Source organism: Homo sapiens, chromosome 10 (genome assembly GCF_000001405.40).
Source record: "Homo sapiens chromosome 10, GRCh38.p14 Primary Assembly".
Lineage (NCBI taxonomy): Eukaryota > Metazoa > Chordata > Mammalia > Primates > Hominidae > Homo > Homo sapiens.
This window is the reverse complement of record NC_000010.11, coordinates 120,453,195-120,475,362: the sequence shown is the minus strand read 5'-3', so window position 1 is coordinate 120,475,362 and position 22,168 is coordinate 120,453,195. Positions and strand designations below refer to the sequence as shown.

General features: G+C 43.3%; 1 protein-coding gene across 10 annotated transcripts in view; it reads right to left on the bottom strand.

Moving 5' to 3' along the window:
- PLPP4 (phospholipid phosphatase 4) overlaps positions 1–18,409 on the bottom strand; it is a 135,112-nt gene extending 116,703 nt beyond the window's left edge. For 9 of the 10 annotated variants that reach the window (XM_011539444.4, NM_001030059.3, XM_005269592.3 and 6 more), the window contains exon 1: positions 18,002–18,136. Coding sequence is in view for 8 of the 10 variants with exons in the window: in NM_001030059.3 (NP_001025230.1) it covers positions 18,002–18,057 (56 nt within the window). In the remaining 2 variants the exon portion in view is untranslated. Of the gene's footprint in view, positions 1–18,001; positions 18,137–18,231 lie in introns of those variants that run through there. The other variant, NR_134516.1, reaches the window with a different exon arrangement.
- Between the last annotated feature and the right edge of the window lie 3,759 nt (positions 18,410–22,168).

Here is a 22,168-nt window from a genome sequence, read left to right as displayed (position 1 = left end):
AGGCCTGTGGGCCAAAAGTCAAGACATTGAGGTGCTGGGCCCAGCTCTGCCACTGAGCAACAAGGAGGCTCTGAGTAAGGCCCTTGGTTAAGAGGGAAAAAAAGAAAAATCTTCTTAAAAAAAAAAAAAAGAAGGGAATGGATATAATAATCCCTAAGGATTCTCCCAGGGAGCTGCTGGGTATAACATCATTCATGCTGGGGGCCATCTGGTGAATGTCAAAGCCCCACTTGCTCGGGAATTGTCAATCCCCTTTGTATCCATGATTTCACTGAAGTCATTAGGGTCATTTAATTATAAGAAAGCCTCACTACCAGCCCCTTTCTTCCCCCTCCCCATCCAAATCTGGTGTAAATTGTTTCAACACATAAAATACTCAATTTAAAATTTTCACTCAAAACACTGTCATCTTATTTATTAACAATGTGACGCTGGGTGAAATCTTTAACCTCTCTAAGCTTTGAATTTCTCATCCAAAAAAATGAAAGCATTATAAAATTCCTACCTTATAGAGTTGTTTGAATAGTCAAGGAGTAAATTGCCTTAACTATGCCTCTGCCTGGCATATAGAAAATACTCAATAAATATTAGTTATTACTATCATTGTTCTCATCATTATCATATCATCATCTCTAAAGCCAAACAACCCCAGTTTGCTTTTAATGAACAATATGATTTTTTTTGTGTCAGGAGAAACAAAAGCAAAGCATCAATGTTTCACATGGGTTTTCATAAATAAAGCATTAATATTTAAAAGTCTAATTTAATATGTTCTCATTATATGACTGAAGATTTTTTATTGGTCCACAAGAATGAATGAAAACATAATATATCCAGGAACCAAGTATTTCTATAATCAAAAAATAAATAAAAATAAATGTGGGACTTCCATATAACTGTCATCAGTATTATGTACATTAATTCAGGGCTGATATTTCAAACAACACATCACAGAAAAGTAAATTCTGAGCTGAATTTTGTAAAACAGGTAGATTTTAGATAGACAAAGTGAGGTCATTTGAAGGATAACTCAGAGAACCATAAAAATAGTCATGGTAAAAGTAAAAATGGATAAATGATAAATTTTTTTAAAATATAAATTTGTATCTAAAAAATGTAAACCTGTGTCAAAGAAAAACTTTTAGATCTCTTTAAAGAGACATCTAGGTCAAGATGGCTGATTGAACTCATATATTTTGTCTCTCTACCCTCCTGAAACACTACTGAAAAGAATAAAAACATAAACATAAATCCATATACAGGTTGAAGAGCTTCAAAGAGTACCAATCAGCAAAGCAGAAGAGAAAAAAATAATTATGCAAAAGATAAACCAGATAGAAATAAAAAAATACATAATACAACAAAGAAGAAACCTCCATGTAAAGGAGGTTAGCCTCTATATCAGTTCGTTCTCACATTGCTATAAAAAACTACCTAAGACTGGGTAATTTATAAAGAAAAGAGGTTTAACTAGCTCATGGTTCCACTGTACAGGGAGCATGGCTGGGGAGGCTCCTGGAAACTTACAGTCATAGCAGAAGGGCAAAGGGGAAGCGAGCACATCGTCACCTGGCAGCAGGGGAGAGAGAGAGTGAAGGGGGAAGTGCCACTCACTTTCAAACAACCAGATCTCATGAGAACTGTATCACAAGAATAACGAGGGGGAAGTCTCACCCCATGATTCAGTTACCTCCAACCATGCCCCTCCTTCAGTATGTGGGGATTACAATTCAACATGAGATTTGGGTGGGGATGCAGAGCCAAACCATATCAGCCTCAGAAGGGGAACCCAAGTTCTGTGTATAAATTTCCTTCAAATTATTTGGCTAACTCAGAAATTGCAATGTGCAGAAAAAGACTACAAGAACCCCAGTGGAAAGTAACAGTCACAGTCTAAAGAGCCAAGCAGAGATTTCAGCACCCAGCCAGTGCTAGGAGATACAGTCTGGGGTTGAAATTTATCCAACTTAGGCTTTCTACTGAAACCTCAGAAGGGCAAAACCATAGGAGTAAAAACCATGTCCCAGATTAAGGAATACAATCTTGGAAAAAAAAAACAAGATAGATTTGCCCAACAATAGCCTAGAATTAAAGTTCTGAAGACTAAAATGACCCAAAAGTAAATTAACTGCATGCCAAAACAAAATTCAATACTCTTAGGGAAAAATAACAATCCAGAATCTCTACAATGTATGTTTCACAGTGTCCAATATATAATAGTTACTAGACATGCAAAGGAAGAGAGATAATGTGACCCACAATCAACAGAGAAAGTCAAAGGTATAGATCATCTTGATGTGGGAATTGGTGGAAAGGGATTTTCCATTATGAATATGTTAAAAGATGATAGGGAAAGATGAACACAATGGATAATAGACGGAAAACTTCAACAGAGAAACTAAATCTCTAAAAACCAAATGAAAATTCCAGATCTGAACTCATGAATATCTGAAATAAAACATTTATTGCATGAACATACCAGCAGAATAGACACAATAGAATCAGTAGCATAAAGAATTAGTGAATTTGAAGACAAGTCAATAGAAATTATCTTAAACTGAGCCACAGAGAGGGAAAATACTTTAAAAATAGAATAGAGCATCCAAGATCTGTAGGACATTATCAAACTGTCTAATATATATGTATATGTACCTGAAGAACCAAAAATACAGGAGCAACAGAATTGGGTAGAAGAAATATTGGATAAAATAAAGTCTTAGGACTATTTAATTGATGAAAGACAACAAACCATATCTCCAATAATCTCAATGAAAAGAAATGGGAAAAATACTAATGAGACCAACCTAGACACATCACAATCAAATTGCTGAAAGTAAAACATAAACAGAAAGTTTTAAAAACAATCAAGAGCAAAAACACATTACATTCATAAAAGCAACAATAACAGTAGAAGCTGACTTATCATCAGAAACAATGGAATCCACAAGATAATGCAAAGACATATTTAAAGTGTTGAATGACGACTGTCAACCGAAAATTCTACATCCAACCAAAAAAATCTTTCAAAAATAAAGGCAAAATAAAGATATTAATAATTTCAAGAAAACAAAAGCCAGGAGAATTTATTTCCAGCAATCTGCATTATAAGAAATGCTAAAGGAAGTTATTCAGGCTAAAAGGATATAATCCCAAAGGGAAAAACCAAATCTAACCGAACTGATAAAGAACATTGAGAATGATAAATATGTTGGTAAATTTTTTAAAATCTTAATTTCTGTGAAAGTATATTGATTGCTTAAAGTAAAAATAATTTAAATGTTTTATGAGATTTATATATAGAAGTAAAATCTATAACAATATACCAAAGGCATGAGAGAAGAAATGAAAGTATGCTGTCATATGATTTTTACATTGTACATGAAATGGTATAATAAATGACACAGGGAAGATGATGGTAATAAGTAAAAAGTGCATATTATAATTGTGAAATAAACTACTAAAATTTTTAAAGAGATATAGCTAACAATTCAATATAGGAGGTAAAATGGAATACAAACAAGTATCTAACTAATCTAAAAGAAGACAGAAAAAGAGAGACAAAGAACACATGCAACAAATAGTAAAAGGTGATAGATTTAAATTCAACCATATTAATAATTGTATTAACTGTAAATGGCTTAACCACTCCAATTAAATGGCAGAGATTGGCTAGACAGATAAAGTTAAAAGATATAACTAAATGCTATTTACGAGAGCCATATGTTAAAAATAAAGATACAGATAAGTTGAAAGTAAAAGGATGGAAAAAGATAACCTGTGCAGACTTCAATCTCAATAAATATAATGTAGTAACATATTAATGTTAGATAAAGTAGACCTTAAGATAATAATATTAATACAAAGACAAATAGAAATTTTATAATAATAAAAGCTCAAGCATCAGAAGGAGATACAATTTAAGAATACTAATTAGAAATATAGAGATAGAAATTATGACATCCAAATTACTAAAGTAAAAAAGAAGGGTAGCAAAGAACACTTGAGCTAGTCAGCTAAAGAAAGAAACAAAGGGGATAAAACATAAAAATAAAGCACCACAAAAAGAAAACACATAATAAGTTGGTTTTAATAACACAAAATATTAGTTACTTCCAAAAAACAATGTGAAGGCTTTAATTATTCTTGTTTGACAGAGATAGCATACCTTCAAATTAAAAAGACAAAATTAAAAGAATAAGACTACAGAAAATTTTAATAGCATGGCTAACTTCTTTTAATATATTTAGAACTTTGCACTCACCAAACAGAAACTATTCATTATGTTCAAGCTATGTAAATTTACAGCCAAAAAAATTACTATGTATGTGGCCACACAGAAAATCATAACCAGTTATAAAACACAGAAATCATACAAGCCACAATCTCTGGTCTCAATACAATAAAACTATTTTAGCACTATCATTATCTGGCTTAAAGGTTAGGAAATTAAAGCACAGAGACATGAAGCAACCTACCCAAATTATAACCAGTAAGTAGCAGATTTGTGTTTAGGTATCCTGGCACTAGAGCCTGAAGCCTTAACCACTGTACTCTACTCCTTCCCAGTGGGTGGAGTGGGGTGAGTACGGGGGGGCAAATTTTCCCTACAGATATCTAAAAATACTATGAAATTACAATAATTAAAATATTAATTGAGACAATACCAGGCAAATAGATATTCAGAATAGAATTTAGTTGCAATCCCATAAGATGCAAGAAAATAATGGACTATTCCATAACCGACAAACCATTTGAGGGGGACAAGTAACAGATAAAGAACCAAAACATTAGCAAATTAAAATTAAAGAACAAAAGTGTAAAATACTCGATAATACAGAAGAATATTTATGTTTTGGGTGGGAAACGACTTTCTAAATAGGACTGAAACTGAAACCACAAGGAAAGACTCACAGATTTAACTACATAAAATTAAAACTTGTATACAATAATAGAAATTACAAAGAAACTTAAAAATCAACCATAGACATGGAAGAATATTTGCAATACATGAAAGAGAAGATTAGTATTTATAAGGCATAAAGCACACCTATACATCAGTAAGAATAATTCAGAGATCCAATAGAAACACAGATAAAGGAAAAGACAGCTATTTCACTGAAGAAATACAAATTGCCAATACGCTTGTGAAACGATGCTCAACACTAAACATAGAGAAATGCAAAGTGAAGCAAATGTTACATTCCAGGCCATGGCAGAAATACAAAACATCCAACATCGGCAAGGATGCATAATGATGGACACCTTCACACAACTGTGGTGAAATGTAAATATGTGTAGCTCTTTGGGTGGACAATTTGGCAGTATTCATCTGAATTTAAAATGTACGTGGTCTTGACCCAGAAAATTCATTTGTAAGAGTTTATCATGCAGCAATACTTGAACAGGTGCACTACAATGTACACAACAACTGCAATATTGTTTTTCATAGCAAAAAATGAAAATACCCTAAGATTCCATGAATAGGTTAATACAATGGAACACCACACACCCAGTAAAAAACAATGAAGCATGTGTTTATATATATAATATCTTAAAGAGATAATGAGTTTAAAAATTAAGCTATAAATAAAATGTGTTTCCAGTAGTTTTGTTAATTATATACAAATGTGTATAAAAAGTGAAGAGAATGGAATAGGCAGAGAAAGTTGAAGTGGTTCCAGGAGCCTTATACTTTTTGTATTGCTTTAATTTTCACAAGTATTTTATAATCCTGAAATAAATGTAAGTGAGGAGAAATACATTCATTTCCATCACATTCATTGTGGTGTAATTCTTCCTAGTATTGGCCCAAATCAGACATACTTCAAATAGTTGCGGCCGGGCACGGTGTGTCATGCCTGTAATCCCAGCACTTTAGGAGCCCCAGGTGGGCGGATCACGAGGTCAGGAGATCAAGACCATCCTGGCTAACACGGTGAAACCCTGTCTCTACTAAAAATACAAAAAATTAGCCGGGCATGGTGGCGGGCGCCTGTAGTCCCAGCTACCTGGGAGGCTGAGGCAGGAGAATGGTGTGAACCTGGGAGGTGGAGCTTGCAGTGAGCTGAGATGGTGCCACTGCACTCCAGCCTGGGTGACAGAGCAAGACTCTGTCTCAAAAAAAAAAAAAAAAAAGTTGCAGTTCCGAGGTATATTTTTGTATAGTGCTTTTCCTTAACTATTACATCATAAAATTTCACCACGTTTCTTCATGATTTTCAAAATGATTCTTTCAATAACTAGATAATATTCTGTGTGTTCACAATCTACCAAATCATCTTCAAATGTTGACCATTTGAGTTTTAATAATTTTTATTTGACAAATATATTTACTTTGTTTTGTATGGAACACAGCAAAAAAATCTTTGTATGTGAGGATTTTGGTGTCTCTTCCATTAGTGCCTCCATGTATTTTTTACCAAGAATTCTAAGTCAAAGGGCAGGAATAATTTTATGGCTGTTTATGTACTGCAATATTGCTCTTCAAAACAGTTGTACCCATTTACTATTCCACCTGAGCAGCCGATCACATTTGAAAACACAAACTTATACATTCTGGATAGTAATCTTTACTCTCTGATTTTTCTTAAGTATTTTAGTTGATAAAAAATGTAGAAAGGTTGATATTTTGACACATTGTCACTTTAAATATTTCTAAAGCAAACACAAAAAAATCATTCAGTGCCCTATCCTGGAATATTTCATTGGCCTCTCCTTTGTTCTGTAACAGAAAACATCTATATTGATTTTTTTGATTGTGCATGAAAATAATAAATGCTTACTATAAAATAATTTAGACATAAACATTTAAAAAGCAAATATTACATAATCCCATCAGCACAAAATAACCACCGTTAAAACTGTATTATGTATCTTTATAGAGATATAGGCACAATTGATTTTATTACATTACCACATTAAAATAGCATCACGCACACTTTTCTAATCTGCTTTTATCACTTAACAATTGTTATAAATGTCTTCTCAAGTAAACAAATAACTACCTACTATAGAACTAACTTCAATAGCTGCACATTCTTTCATTGTAGCACATAAAAAGCTTCTACTAATGTATACTCATTGTTATTTTGTCGTTTTCAGATCCATATCTTGCATTGCTATGGAATCACATATTTACATTCTATAATAAAGACACGTACACACTATGTTCATTGCAGCACTATTCACAATAGCAAAGACATGGAATCAACCTAAATGCCCGTCAGTGGTAGACCGGATAAAGAAAATGTGGTACATACACACCATGAACTACTATGCGGCCACAACAAAGAATGAGATCATGTCCTTTGCAGGAACATGGATGGGGCTGGAGGTCATTATCCTTAGCAAGATAATGCAGGAACAGAAAACCAAGTACCACATGTTCTCACTTATAAGTGGAAAGATAAGAACACATGAACACATAGAGGAGAACAACAGACACTGAGGCCTACTAGAAGCGGGTGAGTGGGTGGGAGGAGGAAAAGGATCAGGAAAAGTGACTAACAGGTACTAGTCTTGATACCTGGGTGACAAAATAATCAGTACAACAAACTCCCATAATATGAGTTTACCTCTGTAACAAACCTGCATATGTACCCCTGAACTTAAAATAAAAGTTAACATAAAAATATCACGGATTTAAAGTGTGTCAGTTTATGAACTTTTGTTAGTTTTCTGCTCGTATCTGTTGCCTATTTTTCTGTTGATGAGCTCTTCTCTTTTCTTTTTAATTGGTAAGAGCTCTCTGAATGAGGGAGCATTAACCCTTAACTCTGTAAATGAGGACAACGCTACCTCCTGAGAGGTGTCATAATTAAAGCCTATGACTGTGACAAGTGCCTAGTACAAAGGTGGCACATGGTAGGCATTGAAGTGTTCTTCCTTAGTAGCTAGTAGGTGTCTCCTTCTCCACCTCCCTGCCTTCCTATAACCAAGGTGATGATAGATGTCAATTAAAATATACCTACACAGGCCGGGCGCGGTGGCTCACGCCTGTAATCCCAGCACTTTGGGAGGCTGAGGCGGGCAGATCACGAGGTAAGAGGATTGAGACCATGCTGGCTAACATGGTGAAACCCCATCTCTACTTAAAAAAAAATAAAATTACAAAAAAATTAGCCAGGCATGGTGGCGGGTGCCTGTAGTCCCAGGTACTCGGGAGGCTGAGGCAGGAGAATGGCGTGAACCTGGGAGGCGGAGCTTGCAGTGAGCCGAGATTGTGCCACTGCAGTCCAGCCTGGGCGACAGAGCAAGACTCCGTCTCAAAAAAAAAACAAACCTACACATACTTATATACTGGCAATTTCTTTTTCTTGGATTATGATTCAGATGTCTCCTAGGAAATTTCTAAATCCTAGTTGAAGGCTCAGCTCTTTGCTGCACTTTTGAGAACTACACTATTTCATTGTCATTATTATTACACTGTGATGTCAGGCATCTTTTCATTGACCTGTATCTCCACCTCAGTTCTAGGAAGGAGGGAGGTGGAGGAAGGAAAAGAGACTGGCTTTAGCACCTAACACATGCCATCTTTGTGCAAGGTACCTGGCACAGCTTACATCACCTCATCTTTACAAGCTCCCTAGGAGGTGAGAGAGTGTACCCGTTTAACAGACGAGGAGGCTCAGGTGCGTCTCTAAAATCAGCAAAGTCAGGGTGTCACTTCTTCAGCATGATTTGAGTGTTTTGACCTATAAAACTGGGAATGTCATTCAGTTCAACCTAAAAATAGCATACACAAAGAAATGTGCACTGTTCATAATTATACAGCTGCCCAGAAAACTCCCCAGTCTGCCAAGCCCCCTTCCACCACCCTGACTTCTAACATCACTGAACTCTAGAGAAATGGAGCCGTAAAGCGTGTGCTCTTTCACGTGACTTTTTTTGTTGAATACGTTTTTGAGATTTATCTCTGTTGTTGTGGGTAGCAGCAGTTGGTTCATTCTCGTGTGCTCCAATTTATTTATTCATTTTACCCATGGATATATGGGATATTTATCACTTTTGGCTATTAAGTGCAATGCTGCTATTGGTTTTTGGTGAACCTATTTGTAATTTCTTGTACATATATACGTAGGGGTGCAACTGCTGGGTTTTTCATCAGAAGTGGGCCATGCTGCCCATCTGCCTGCAGAATGGGACCCATTTGCCAGGCCCTGTCACTTGCCAGGCCCATTACATGCTTTCTACAAGGTAGCTGCTCAGCAGATGGAGATTACAGCATCATACAGGCTAAATATTGCTTTTAGAGGTATAGCTGGACAGAGAGGCCAAATCCTTCCTTAAGAACTTCTGATGAAGAACCCAGCAGTTCCACCCGTATGTATATACCTACAAGAAATTATAAGATGTTCACCAAAAACCAATAGCAGCATTGCACTTAATAGCCAAAAATGATAAATATCCCATATATCCGTGGGTAAAATGAATAAATGAATTGGAGCACACGAGAACGAACAAACTGCCGCTACCCACAACAAAAGAGATAAATCTCAAAAACACATTCAACAAAAAAGTCACACAAAAGAACACAAACTTTATGGTTCCATTTCTATAGAATTCAAATGATGTTAGAAGTCAGGGTGGTGGAAGGGGGCTTGGTAGATCGGGTAGTTTTCTGGACAGCTGTACAATTATGAATAGTGCACATTTCTTTGTGTATGTTATTTTAGGTTGAACTGAATGAAATTCCCAGTTTTATAGGTCAAAACACTCAAATATCAGCAATTTCATATGGTTCAAACTAATACTTCAATAAAATATGTTTTTAAAAACCCTCTGGTAAAGAAGAAAGAAACATCTAGCTTTGACTGGCAGACTGCTACCTTTCTAGAAACCAACCTAAATGCTCCTGCCTCCTCTGGCCCTGTTTTTCTGCTGCTTTGTCTTTAGTGGAGATAGAATAACAACTAGTTCCTCCTTTCTGTGGGATAATGTTTCACATTCACATATTGAGAGACTGTGATGAAGCTGCCCCTGGGTTCTGCAGCCCCAGGTCCTCTCAGCCTCCTCTCACTCGCCCCAGGCATCCCAAACCTTGCTCTTAACACCTCTGAAGCTTCTGGTTGAATGACGACAAGGGCCCACTGGCAGGCAGCAGTCTTGTCTGAAGGAGCTTCCTCACTGTAAAAACAGTGTTTCTAATTCATCCACATAGAACAGCAAGATAATATTTTTTAAAGAAGCACTATTACCAAGATAATGTTTCTATTTACAAATGCTATCATTGAAAAATAGAGGTAGTGAGCTTTTATGAGCCTTGCATGTGTCACAAAAGGCATATTCTTTACAACTAATTGAGATACCTTTATCCACAAGTTATGAAACCATATGCTTCTTTTGCAGTGCCGGGAGCATTTATCTCCCTGTGGGAAAACATCCATTCTCAGAATTCTGGGTACAGCCAACTCATTTTACAGTGGCAAGTAGTATTTCAAACAGAAGGATGCCCCATTTATCAAACAAGGCAGACGCCTTCCCAGGGAGGGGAGAAGAAACACTCGGGCCCCATTGCACAGCATGCACAGATGGGCTGAGAGGGTGCCTGATGAAAAGCACTCCCTGGATGTGGCTTCTAATTGAGCCCTGTGTGCAAAGTTCACAACGGGGACATAGCATTTTCCTTATGTTATGTTATCTAAGAACACAACATAGCATTTTCTAGTATGTTATCTAATGCAGCTATGCTGAGAGCGCTTCAATTCGATGTCCTGGAACCACTGTTGCAAAGGGCCAGCAATTTAAGCCACTGCTGAGAAACTGCAAGGCTGAGACCAGCCCACCCCATCAGACAGCAAGATCTGGGGTTCCGACTCATCGGACAAACTCATGGCAAGGTACATCCCTCACTTTTGAGGCCTAAAAGGAATCATTAGAAATACACTTCCAGGAGTTTATTCTTGTCTAGAAATCCTGTGGTAAATCATTTGTAATAAGAACATCATTAGACACCTATGGTGTTTCTCTTTAGTGTATATTATGGATTCATTTCAACAAAAGGATAATAATAATAACATCACCATTTGCTGAGCACCTACAATGAGCTGGATACTGTCCCATTTAATACTCACAATACTTCAACAAAATATGCTTAATATGGTTCAAACTTATACTTCAATACAATATGTTTTTAACATATTCTTACATTCATGAATATGACGGACATTCCCATTGAACAGAAGGAGGAACAATGACTGAAGATGGATAAATACTTTCTCCCAAAACTCACACAGCAGGTAAGTTGCAAACCAGGATTTGGTTAGGCACAATGGTTCACACCTATAATCCCAGCACTCTGGGAGGCCAAAGTGGGAGGATCTTGTGAGCCCAGCAGTTCAAGACCAGCATAGGCAATGTAGACCCCATCTCTTCAAAAAATAAAATAGCTGGCTGCGATGGCACACCTATTGTCCCAGCTACTCGAGAGGCTGAGGTGGGAGGATTGCTTGAGCCTGGGAGGTTGAGGCTGCAGTAAGTGGTGATCATGCCACTGCACTCCAGCCTGGGCGACAGAGCAAGACTCTATCTATATATACAAAAAAAAAGAATCCTCTGGGGCCTGTAAGAGCAGGGCCCAAGGAGATGGCTGGAGCTGAGGAGAATAGCTATGGTTGTGCCACTGCACTCCAGCCTGGGCAACAGAGAGAGACTCTGTCTTCAAAATAAAACAAAACAAAATAGGATTTAAGCCCTGGTAACCTGACGCCAAAGGCCACAGTTGTAACCACTGTGCTGTGCTGCCATTCTTAGACACTACATGTATGCAATAGGGATTAACAAGGGTGGCGAGAAGTTACCAATTTTTGTTATATGTACCACAGGCACTTAAAGTACCTTATCTAATCTTATCTAATAAAATCCAGTGAAGTAAGTATTAGCTCCATTTCCTACATGAAGAAACTGAGGTTCAGAGATTGAAGGCAATTGTTAGTTAGTGGCAGAGCTGAAACCCAAACACAGACCTGTCTGGCTCCAAAGCCCGAGGTCTTTTGTTATAGCTCTTTGCTTCAAACAACTCATTTGAAACTTGTTTCTAGGCCGGGCACGGTGGCTCACGCCTGTAATCCCAGCACTTTGGGAGGCCAAGGTGGGCAGATCACGAGGTCAGGAGATCGAGACCATCCTGGCTAACATGGTGAAACTACGTCTCTACTAAAAATACAAAAAATTAGCCAGGCGTGGTGGCGGGCACCTGTAGTCCCAGCTACTGGGAGGCTGAGGCAGGAGAATGGCATGAACCCAGGAGGCGGAGCTTGCAGTGAGCCGAGATCGCACCATTGCACTCATTCCAGGCTGGGTGACAGAGTGAGACTCCGTCTCAAAAAAAAAAAAAAAAAAAAAAGAAAGAAACTTGTTTCTAGAGAGCAAGCAGAATGATTCTGAATGTATTCATTACATAGAAAGGACTGATGGTAGAGTAGCCAATCAACCCCAAAACTTCACTTAACACAAAAAGTCCCCCTCCCTCTTACAAAGGCCACTCTAGTGACAGGGTTCTACAGGGCCACCGCCTGCTGCCTCCACCCTGCGGTGCTGCCATCCATTCGCTAGACTGCACATAAGTATTTCCCAAAGGCAGCGGATGGAAGGAGCCCCTGTTCAAAATGCAGATTCTGCGGGCCTCGATCTCTATTTTAATTCAGTTAGCCTGACCTGGGCCCCGTGTAATCCTGACGCAGGTGTTCAGCAGGCCGTCCGCCCCTTCAGTAGCTTTGCTTTGGACTGATGCAGAATGCTTAGGTCTGTAAAAATGATCCTGGGAAACTGAGTCAGGAGGCACCGACCATGCTTGTGCCAAGGCTAGGCTGGGAGCAGGGGAAAGCAAAGAAGTTAAAGATGCAGATGGCTGACCACAACGCAGTGCAGACAGTACTTGTCCTGGGGAGCTGTGAAGCAGGGCTGCGGCCACGAAGCAGTGTGCAGTCACACATCACAGTCTGCAGGGCCTGTGTGTCTGGCCAAATGGTTCCTTTCCACCCCTGGGCAAACATCTGAGCATGGTACAGTTTTGTTTCAAACCTCCAGGCCCCCCCAGTTTTGCCTCTGTGGGAATGACCCCTGCCCTGCAGGGCCCTGAGGCCACTTGCGTTCTCCTTCCAGGCTCCCTTCCTGCCACTCCCACACCCACCCACCCCAAAGCCCACACTGAGGCCACACTTGGTGACCTCATCTCCACCCAAAATATGCCTCCACACCTCCAGGCCTTTGCCCTGCAGGAATGTCCTTGGGCCTAGGACCTGTACACCTGGCATTCGGTGCTCAGCCCTGGGCAGCCTTCCCTGGCACATGCATCCTCCTTCTCAGTGAAACCTAGCACCTTGCTCCAACTGTCCCCAGCATGGAGTCTTACACTGGGCTCTTAGAGGTAGTAAAGATGAGTCTGTTTTTGTCGATATTTCAAAAATCTACCTGACATCCAGTGCCCTCAAGCAAGTCACCTGGACCAGGTAAAGCACCAAGTTTCCCTCTGTCTTGCTGGAATTACACCAATCAAAGCGTACCAATGAAGGGAAAAGGAAATGACTATCACAAATGCTTGCACCTAGAAGGTGCCAAATATCCATCAAGTGGATGAACAATGAAAGAGAAATGTTTGGAGGCAAAATTTTCAAAGCCAGTAATTGCATTGGAGACAATAACAAATGGTGGCCCACTGTGTACTTTCCCTACTGGACTGTAAGGTACTGGGGGCCACCTGGCCTTCTCTCCTCTCATCCCCTGTGCCTGGCAAAGGCCTCTTGCATCCTAAGAGCTCAAAGAAGGATGCTGGATTATCTAAGGGGAGGTAAACACCATTACCTGTGCACCCTGGCATCCTAAGCAGCTCCTAGGGGGACCCTGCAGACAGAGAGCCACCAGAAATGACAGGGAGGGATAGGGAGAAGGGCAGATGGAAGGAAGGAAAGAGGAAGATAAGACGCCAAGGAACTCAAGCCTACAAGTGAAACAGACAGACCATCTTTCCCCCCGTCCAGCACATGAGATCGTCATCATCTTTCTAGGGTCCTTTCTGCAATCTTGTAAATACAGAGTGCTTGAACTAACAGATGTCCTGGGAGATGACAGCCAAAAACGGTGGAAGAAAGCAGTGTATTCCTAGTTTCTTACTACTACAATTGATGTTCTCACCGGCAATTTACTCACCACATCGTACTCTTAAAATCTATGCCATGATCAAATCCCATCTTTTAGGAAGTGTGAACCACTGCTGCCATCCCTCCACCTTTGAGGTGTCATCCTAGCATGAGATTTTAGAGCTACAGTGACAGCTTCCCACACATCACTCCAGGCAATGTGTACTTGCTCTTCTGGAGATAAGGAGTCATGGAAGGAATTGCTCACAGGATGTGGTCAGTTTAGCACCAGTCTGGAAGCCTGGGGCTGGATGTCTTCTGTCTCAGAGGCTGACCACTCAGGGACATGGGGTCAGCTGCCTGTTTGAATCAGGGTTATACCTCCTGCTAGCTGAGTGACTTCAGGCAACTTACTCAACCTTTCTAAACCTTGGTTTCTTTGTTTGTAAAGTGGGAATAATGAACAGAATCCAGTGAGATGAGGCTTAAAAGAGAAATCACATGGAATACCTTTTGCATGAAGTTAGCCCTGGACTGACCAAAACTGGCTGCTATTTTTTATGAAGCAAAGTGATTGAGAGTCCAGACCTTGCAGATGGAGCATCTAGATTTAGATCTCAGAGCTGCCCTTGTTAGCCCTGTTACTTGGGAAGTTCCTTAATTTTACTGTGCTTCAGTTTCTTCATCTATGACAAAGAAATATCAATATACCCCCTTCATCAGGCTAAATGGCATACGGGATAGTCTTCATTGGTGCCTGACACACAGTAAGATCTCAGTAAATGATTGCTATTGTACTGGTGATAGTGGTCAAAGTGAGTAGCATGCTTCTAGTAGTGCACCATTGGTCTGCTGGGTGTTAACCAGCCATCTCATTTCTACACTATGTGCTTGCTGAGTAAGGTCTGTTGCTAGCCTTGGCATTTGCAGAAATACTCAAAAGAATCTCTCCTGGAGTCTTGGGTAGCAGCAGGACAGAAGAAGCCCAAAAGTGCTTCTCCTTCCTGCTCTGCCCACAATCCATGAGTAAGAGCAATAGGACCTCAAGGCCTACACACTTCATGGTACTAAACACAGCCTCAAAGCTTCACATTTTACTTTTATTTTTCCTAAACACTGGGTTCCTGTAACCAATTTATCTTCTGTTATGTTAAACTTTATATGCCAGCCTTGATTTGCATTACTCTACTAATTTCCTTCCCAGCGATTTGAAGTCCTTAGGCAGGACTGAGCATCTACGGGTTGGTTGCGGGAGCGGGGGTGCCTGGAGAGCAACCTCTCAGAATTCTGAATGCACAAAACCTCAGCACTGTGCCTAGTCTAGAAACAGAAAAAGGGATCTTTAAGAGTCAGTAAGGAAAAGCTTGCATCCCTACTACCCGTGGGCCCAAAATGCATTTTCTTAGCTCTCACTTGGAATCTTTGAGGAGCATATGGGCTACGGGTAACAGGATCCCTGCTCTCATGCAGAGCAAATGTAGTCAGAGAACAGGCACATCTACAGGTGATGTTTCTCCGGGGGCATAAGTTTGCAAAGAAGCAAGATACCCCCTCTCCCCGCAGATAATTCTTTCATCCTGAGCAATAGGGTAGAAATACCAAGCAAAACTAGCTGCTGAGCTACACTGGCTGAAGCAGGGAAATCGGATTCAGCCTGCCCAGGGGCACTTTCTAAACCCCTGTGCTGCTAAGACCACCATCTTCGTGAGCAGAGGTAGGTACAACCCAATATTGCCATCATTTCCAGTACTGGCAAAAGGAAGAATTAAACTTCCCCCAAAAGTCAGCCTCTGTCAAGGTGCCAGACGCTTATCTGAGAAAACAAAGGGTCATCTGTTTCTGCATGCTCCCAGCCGTCCTCCCAGAAGTCGGTACATGCCTGATACTAACAGCATCTGAACATCCAAGATCTGCCCCCTAGGGAGGCTCGCATCAATACCAAAGCTGGTTTTTGCAGGTAAAAGAGCCACAAGTTGGACACACTGTTAACAACTTGATAAGAAACCTGGGAGTCATCCAAAAATGCTATCAATGTCCATGTGTGACAACAGATCCCCTATTAAGTAACACAAGAGGGAACTTCAGAGAACAGAACATAAACTGCCTGTCCAGCTTTTACATGACACCCTTAGAAAAAGCAAGACGCGCATAAGCAATAATTACCAAGTTTTCAAATTTACTGCATAGACCATTGTATATCTGTAAACATCTCATAAATATTTGGGGGGGATATTGGAAGGGACACCTGAAAACTATAAATATTTTTACATATTGTTGGACCCTTTTTTATCTGAGCACCCCCAGCAGCAGTCAAACCAGATAGTGAGATAGTGTAAGAGCCTATCTCACTTTATCTCAGCATTCTTCCTACATTCACCCAACAAATGTTAAATTCTACTGTGCACTGAAAACTAGTTTATCATTTCTATCACATAATAATTTAATGAGGTTTTAGCCCATCTGCCAATTAGAAACTGTCCCCATCTGATCACACAGCAATCATTAGTTTTAACGTACATTCCAAAGGTAGAAAATAGAGTAGGAGAAGGGAAGAGTGTTTTGTTTTTCCAAATGCATCAAAATCCAACTGAAGTTCTCGTTCCTTCTTCCCAGTGAATAACACCAGTGTTCGGGCAGAAGGCGGGAGAGGGGGGCTTGCTTGCATCTGGGGGAGCTCATGGCCTTTTCTGATGGTGTGAATAAATACTCTGGATGAATTTAATCCCTGCTAAAGAAAAACATGCAAGAAAGGGCATTTCTTTCCATGTGTATCCCCTGGGCTGCCCAGAACAGAAGTCATCTTTGACACAGCACACCTGCCATGGATGACTCCAGATTGAGGCAGAAATTCAAAGAGGGCCTCCTGTTTGGCTCGGGAGGGCTTTTCCAGAAACGAAAACAAAAACAAACAAATAAATAAATGCATGGCAAATCCAAAAAGTTCATGTAACTTTAATACTTAGAATGTGGCAGAAAACATCCATGGGCAGAGAGGGGGAGAGAATTTGGCTCACTGATGGAGGGACCAGTGCAGGTGTGGGTGCCTAGGTGACAGCAGCTCACGGGAGGCTGCGGGGTGGCTCTGAGCTGGTGTTCTGGGCTCAGGTCTGAAAGAGAGATGTGACAGCTCCCTGCAGCTTGGGCCCTGGAAGTCAATGAGCGGTGGGTCCCTGGGCGCACGGAGGAGGCTCAGGCATCTCTGAAAGAACCTGCGCCACCACCCCTTCTTCTTTTCGGGATCGCTGTTCTCAGTGCCAGCCGCTCAAAGCCACCCTGGGCATTTCACGGCTACCCCTGGAGGGCCTCCGCCCCCAAAGCGGACATCGACCGGGCACAGAGCTCCAGGGTGTGTGTATCCCACCCCGGCCTGCAGCCCCTTGACTTCTCAAGCCTCCACAGCAACAGTTTCTCAGTAGGAGAAGCGCCGCAAACGCCCGCTGGGAAAACGCTCGCCAGGACCGCGGGCGCTAAAGCCAGGGACACGGAAGGAGTCTGGCCCTGGGCACAGCGGGGAGGAATCGGAGACGGGGCCAGGGGTAAAGACTTCCAACGTGGGCCTCAAAGATCACACAGAAGGAGAAACTTCCCGAGGGCACGGGCCAGGGTGCGCGTCCCTGTTTAGAGGTGCAGCCCTGGATCCCCCGGGCAGGTGGTGCGGGGCTGGCGACAGGCGCGGGCCCGGTGAGACCCGGGAGCAGGTCTCAGCCTCGGCGCGCGGTGGTCGCTCCGCGCCTAGGGTCCCAGGAAGGAGAGAGGAAGGGTCTCTCTTGGTCCCGTAGGACACGTTGCGGGCACTTGGCGGGGAAGGGACCTCGAACCCAGGCCCCAGTGGGAAGCGGCTGCGCAAACTAAGTTAGGGCACAGAGAGGCTTGGTCGGTTGTTCCCCCGCGTCAGTGCGCCCTGCCCGCGGTGCGCCACTACTTACACGAAGACTCCGAAGAGCAGGGCTCGCACCCCGATCTCAATGGCCAGCTCCCGCATGGTGCGGCCGGAGCAGCTCCCGCGGCGTCAGCTGGTGCTCTCCGCGGCTCCCGCAGCTCGGCCGGCGCCGGCTCGCCAGACCCTGGGAGGCGAGGGAGGCGCGCTCCAGGCCGCGGGCGGGGGCGGAGGCGGGCGCCGGGCGGGGGCAGGCGCCGGGGAGGGCTCAGCCTAAACCTCGCGCCTCGGGCTCCGGGGCTCCGGGAAGCCGCGCCGGCCGCTGGCGATACTGCGGACCCCGCCTCCTAGTGCGGAGCCGGGGCCGCCTCAGGGACTCCCGGATCCCTCTCCCCAGGAGCCGCCTCCGCCTCCTGGGCCCGCGCCGGGCACCCGCGGACCGGGGAGGGGAAGCCCGGGGAAGCCCCACCGCCGCCGCCGCCTCCCTGCGCGCTCCCCGCCTCCCCCGCCAGTGGGCGGCCCCTGGGCTCCGCGCCAGGGCAGCGCGCTCGCTGGGGCTCTGCCCGCGGCCCCTCTGCAGCTCCTGGTCCTGCCTCCGACTCCCGCTGTCCGGGCTCTCGCTCCCTGGCACACGCACGCACGTGGGCATGTAGTGGACGATCGCTCTGGGGATTCTCCAGGGCTCAGGGCAGCCCTGGCCAACCTTGCTCCCGTGTTCGGCCCTCCCTACACCGTTCGAACCTGAAATTCTTTCTTTTTTCTAGGAAGTTCCCCAGAGATCACTCGCGGGCTTCGCTTTGCTCTCAGGAGATGCCAGCCAGGGTCCAGGGCTCCGGCACAGAGAGAGGGCAAAGGCAAGCCTGGCTCCCCGCCATGCCACCAGCGCCAGGTGGCCCCTGGGGACCGAATCCTCTCTCCCCCACCACCTGTCCTCCGCCCCCAGCAGCTTGGGGCTGCTGAACTGTGGAATATGAAAAAGCTCCTGCCACCGTCCCTGGCCTGGCCGGTGTGTGGGAAGTCAGGGTCGCTCGTCGCTGACACAGCATTCAACCAGCCGTCAGCCAGGCAGCAGGTAGAACCCAGAGCCTCATCCTCAGGTTAAGAGCCAAAAGCCCAACCCTCGCAGCCTAGGGGTCACGACCTCCAGCTGGAGCCCAGCAGGAGCTTGGATTTGCTTTTCCCAAACCGGTCAGAATTTTATTTACTTTTCTTAGAATTTTGACTTCTTGGCTTCACTAATTTAAACCAAGCAGACATTTAAAATGCAAAACACACAGTGATTATAACCATTAGGTTGTTCCTGGGGAGCCCAGGCCTCTCTTGGATTTTAGGAGAGACCCAGCCAAAATTGTGTGAGCAGAGGACACGGATTAGAAGGTGGTTCCTGGGACTAAGGAGCTATGGCTCAGTCCTGGATAAAAGGGGGAGCAGGTAGAAAGAACTTAGGAGGAAGCCCTTGGCATCAGCAAAGGGCAAACAGACCCTACCTCCAAAGGAAACACGTGCAGATCAGAGATACCTGAGCCCAGATATCTCAGGGTCTAGAGAGAGAGAGGCAGAGGGAGTAGGAACAACCCAGGCTCTGTGTGGGAGGGACTCCAGCCCTGAGGCACCACAGGCAGGAGCTGTATCTGCATTCCTCATCACTCTATGCCCAGTGCCCGGCACACTGTGGATACCTGGTTGGTACTTAGTAAATGAATAAATATTTATTCATACATATATATATATATATATGGCTATATATATGATATATTCATTCATATATATTATATATGGCTATATATATGATATATATATACACGTATATATCATCAGGCACATGGGGTGTCAGGTGCAGGTAAGGTAGGAAGGTCTTGGAGGGAGGAGGTATGCTTCTGTCTCCTCTGTATCTTGGGCCCAGCAACTACCTTGGACATAACAACTCCCACGGATTGGCAAAGTGCTGTAGGAGAGCCCATAGGCAGCCTAGTGAACACTGATGATCTCGGTCTGAGATTGTCAGGTGGCCATATTCCAGCAGGGCATTCTGACAATAGCCCCTGACATTGGGGCACCACTTACCTATAAGCATCTGCTGAGTTTGAGTACAGCCTGTGCAAAGTTGTGTGCTGGGTGAGACGATTCATAATCTGTCTCTGCCTTCAAGAAGATGGGGAGCTGATAGACCACAAGGAGACATCAGGGAAGTATGCAAAGCAGTATTAATAAGTCACAAACACATGCTTCAGAAATCTGGATCGCTCAGAGGTCAGAAGTTGGAACCACATCATCAGTCTGAGATAGCCTGAGGACACAGCCTCACGGAAAGGAGCTGGCTTTTGGACCAGGCGCGATGGCTCATGTCTGTAATCCCAGCACTTTGGGAGCCCGAGGCAGGAGGATCATGAGGTCAAGAGATCGACACCATCCTGGCCAACAGGGTGAAACCCCATCTCTACTCAAGATACAAAAATTAGCTGGGCATGGTGGCGCATGCCTGTAGTCCTGGCTACTCAGGAGGATGAGGCAGGAGAATCGCTTGAACCCGGGAGGTGGAGGTTGCAGTGAGCCCGAGATCACGCCACTGCACTCCAGCCTGGGCGACAAAGTGAGACTCCATCTGAAAAAAAAAGAAAAAAAAGAAAAGGAAAAAAAAATGAGCTGGCTTTTGTAAGGCAAAGAAAGAAAAAAATAAGGGGGAGAAATTCTTGGTAGGGGCAAGAAAGTAGGTGCAAGGAGCAGAAGGTGGAAGTGGTTTTGGAGGGCAAAAGGAGTTACCCTGTCTGACAGAGCAGAGAAACCACCCGAGGTTAGGTTGGTGGAGGAGACGTAGTCGTGACAATCCTGCCCACCAGGGTCTGTTACCAGGGTCACAGAGAGAATATTCAGTTTATCACTTCGTATTTGTATAGAGATACCCAGAGAGGGAGTCAGAAGGGGCATGTAACTTCACTTCATGGTCATTAAGAGACTCTGAAACACATAGATCGAAAGAAGTGCCCAATAAAACCCCCCATTTTGCTGGAATTTATTCTCCATTATCTCCCCCAAGTGCTCATCCAGTGCAGGGTGCAAATCCTGCCACTGAAAAGGCATTCACCCTTGAGGGAGCATGTACCCTCTTCAGATGGCTCTTTCAAAAGCATTTCCTTACAGGGAATTGCTACACACCACCTTGCAACTTACATCATTGCATCAGTCCTGTCCCACCAGCTACTCGGAACTATCACAGTCAACGCTTCTATGGTGACAAACAACAGATGGCTCAACCTAAACTTATTTAAGAAAAGACAACTGAAAAGTCCAATGGAAGGTCAGCCTTCACACATGACTGAATTCTGAGTGCAAGCAATGTCATCAGTACCTGGTTCTTTCCAACTCTCTGCTCTGTCTGCACTGCATTGACTTCAGTCTCAGGCTCCTGGTAGTTTCAAGATGGCTGCAGGCATTCCAGCTTTACACCCTCTCAAGTTCAAGTCTGACTAGAAAGACCTCTGCCTAGGTCCCAGCACTCCCAGCAAAAGTGTCGTAGAATGTCATTGTTGCTGCCAACCCTGAACCAATCACTGCAGTCAGGGAACCATGATGAATTGATTGTCTCAAGCCTGGTCACATGCTTCATCCCTACCCAAAGCTTCCGAGACTGGGGAGAGGTGACCCTACATATACAGGGCTGATGCTTTGGAGCAGGGAGAATGTTTGATGGGAAAGTAAACAACCAGGGGCCATCCTGTTCCATGCTGCATGGTGGGGTCATCCCCAACCATTCTTGTCCAACCCCACGATCATTAACCAGTAAAAGGGAGTTATTCTGGGTGCTCCATGATAAGGCTGCCCAATTTCTACAACTGTCAATACAGATTTGCAATTTGTTGTAAGTTTGTGTTCTCTGAAGGTGGCTTTAAACAAAGCTATGATGTCATCCTTGATGCTTGTCTTCAGCTGCCCAGTCTCTTCTTTCTCCAGTCCCTTTGGCAACCCTGTCATCTCCTCTAATGATCCCTTTTTCCATTTACCAAAGCCTGTTGTCAAGGGAAAGCTCTAGCCTTATTCATTATATAAACCTGGATCAGGATGTCTCTGGGGGCTCTCTCACACAGAAGGATCTATAATTTAATCCAGATCCTTCTTGAAGGGCAGATAGGCTCTGATACCTCTGAAAAGTACTGCAGATGGCATCTTCAGTGCCCCAAATCACAAAAAGCAGGAAGCAACACCCACCCCCCTACCCCCC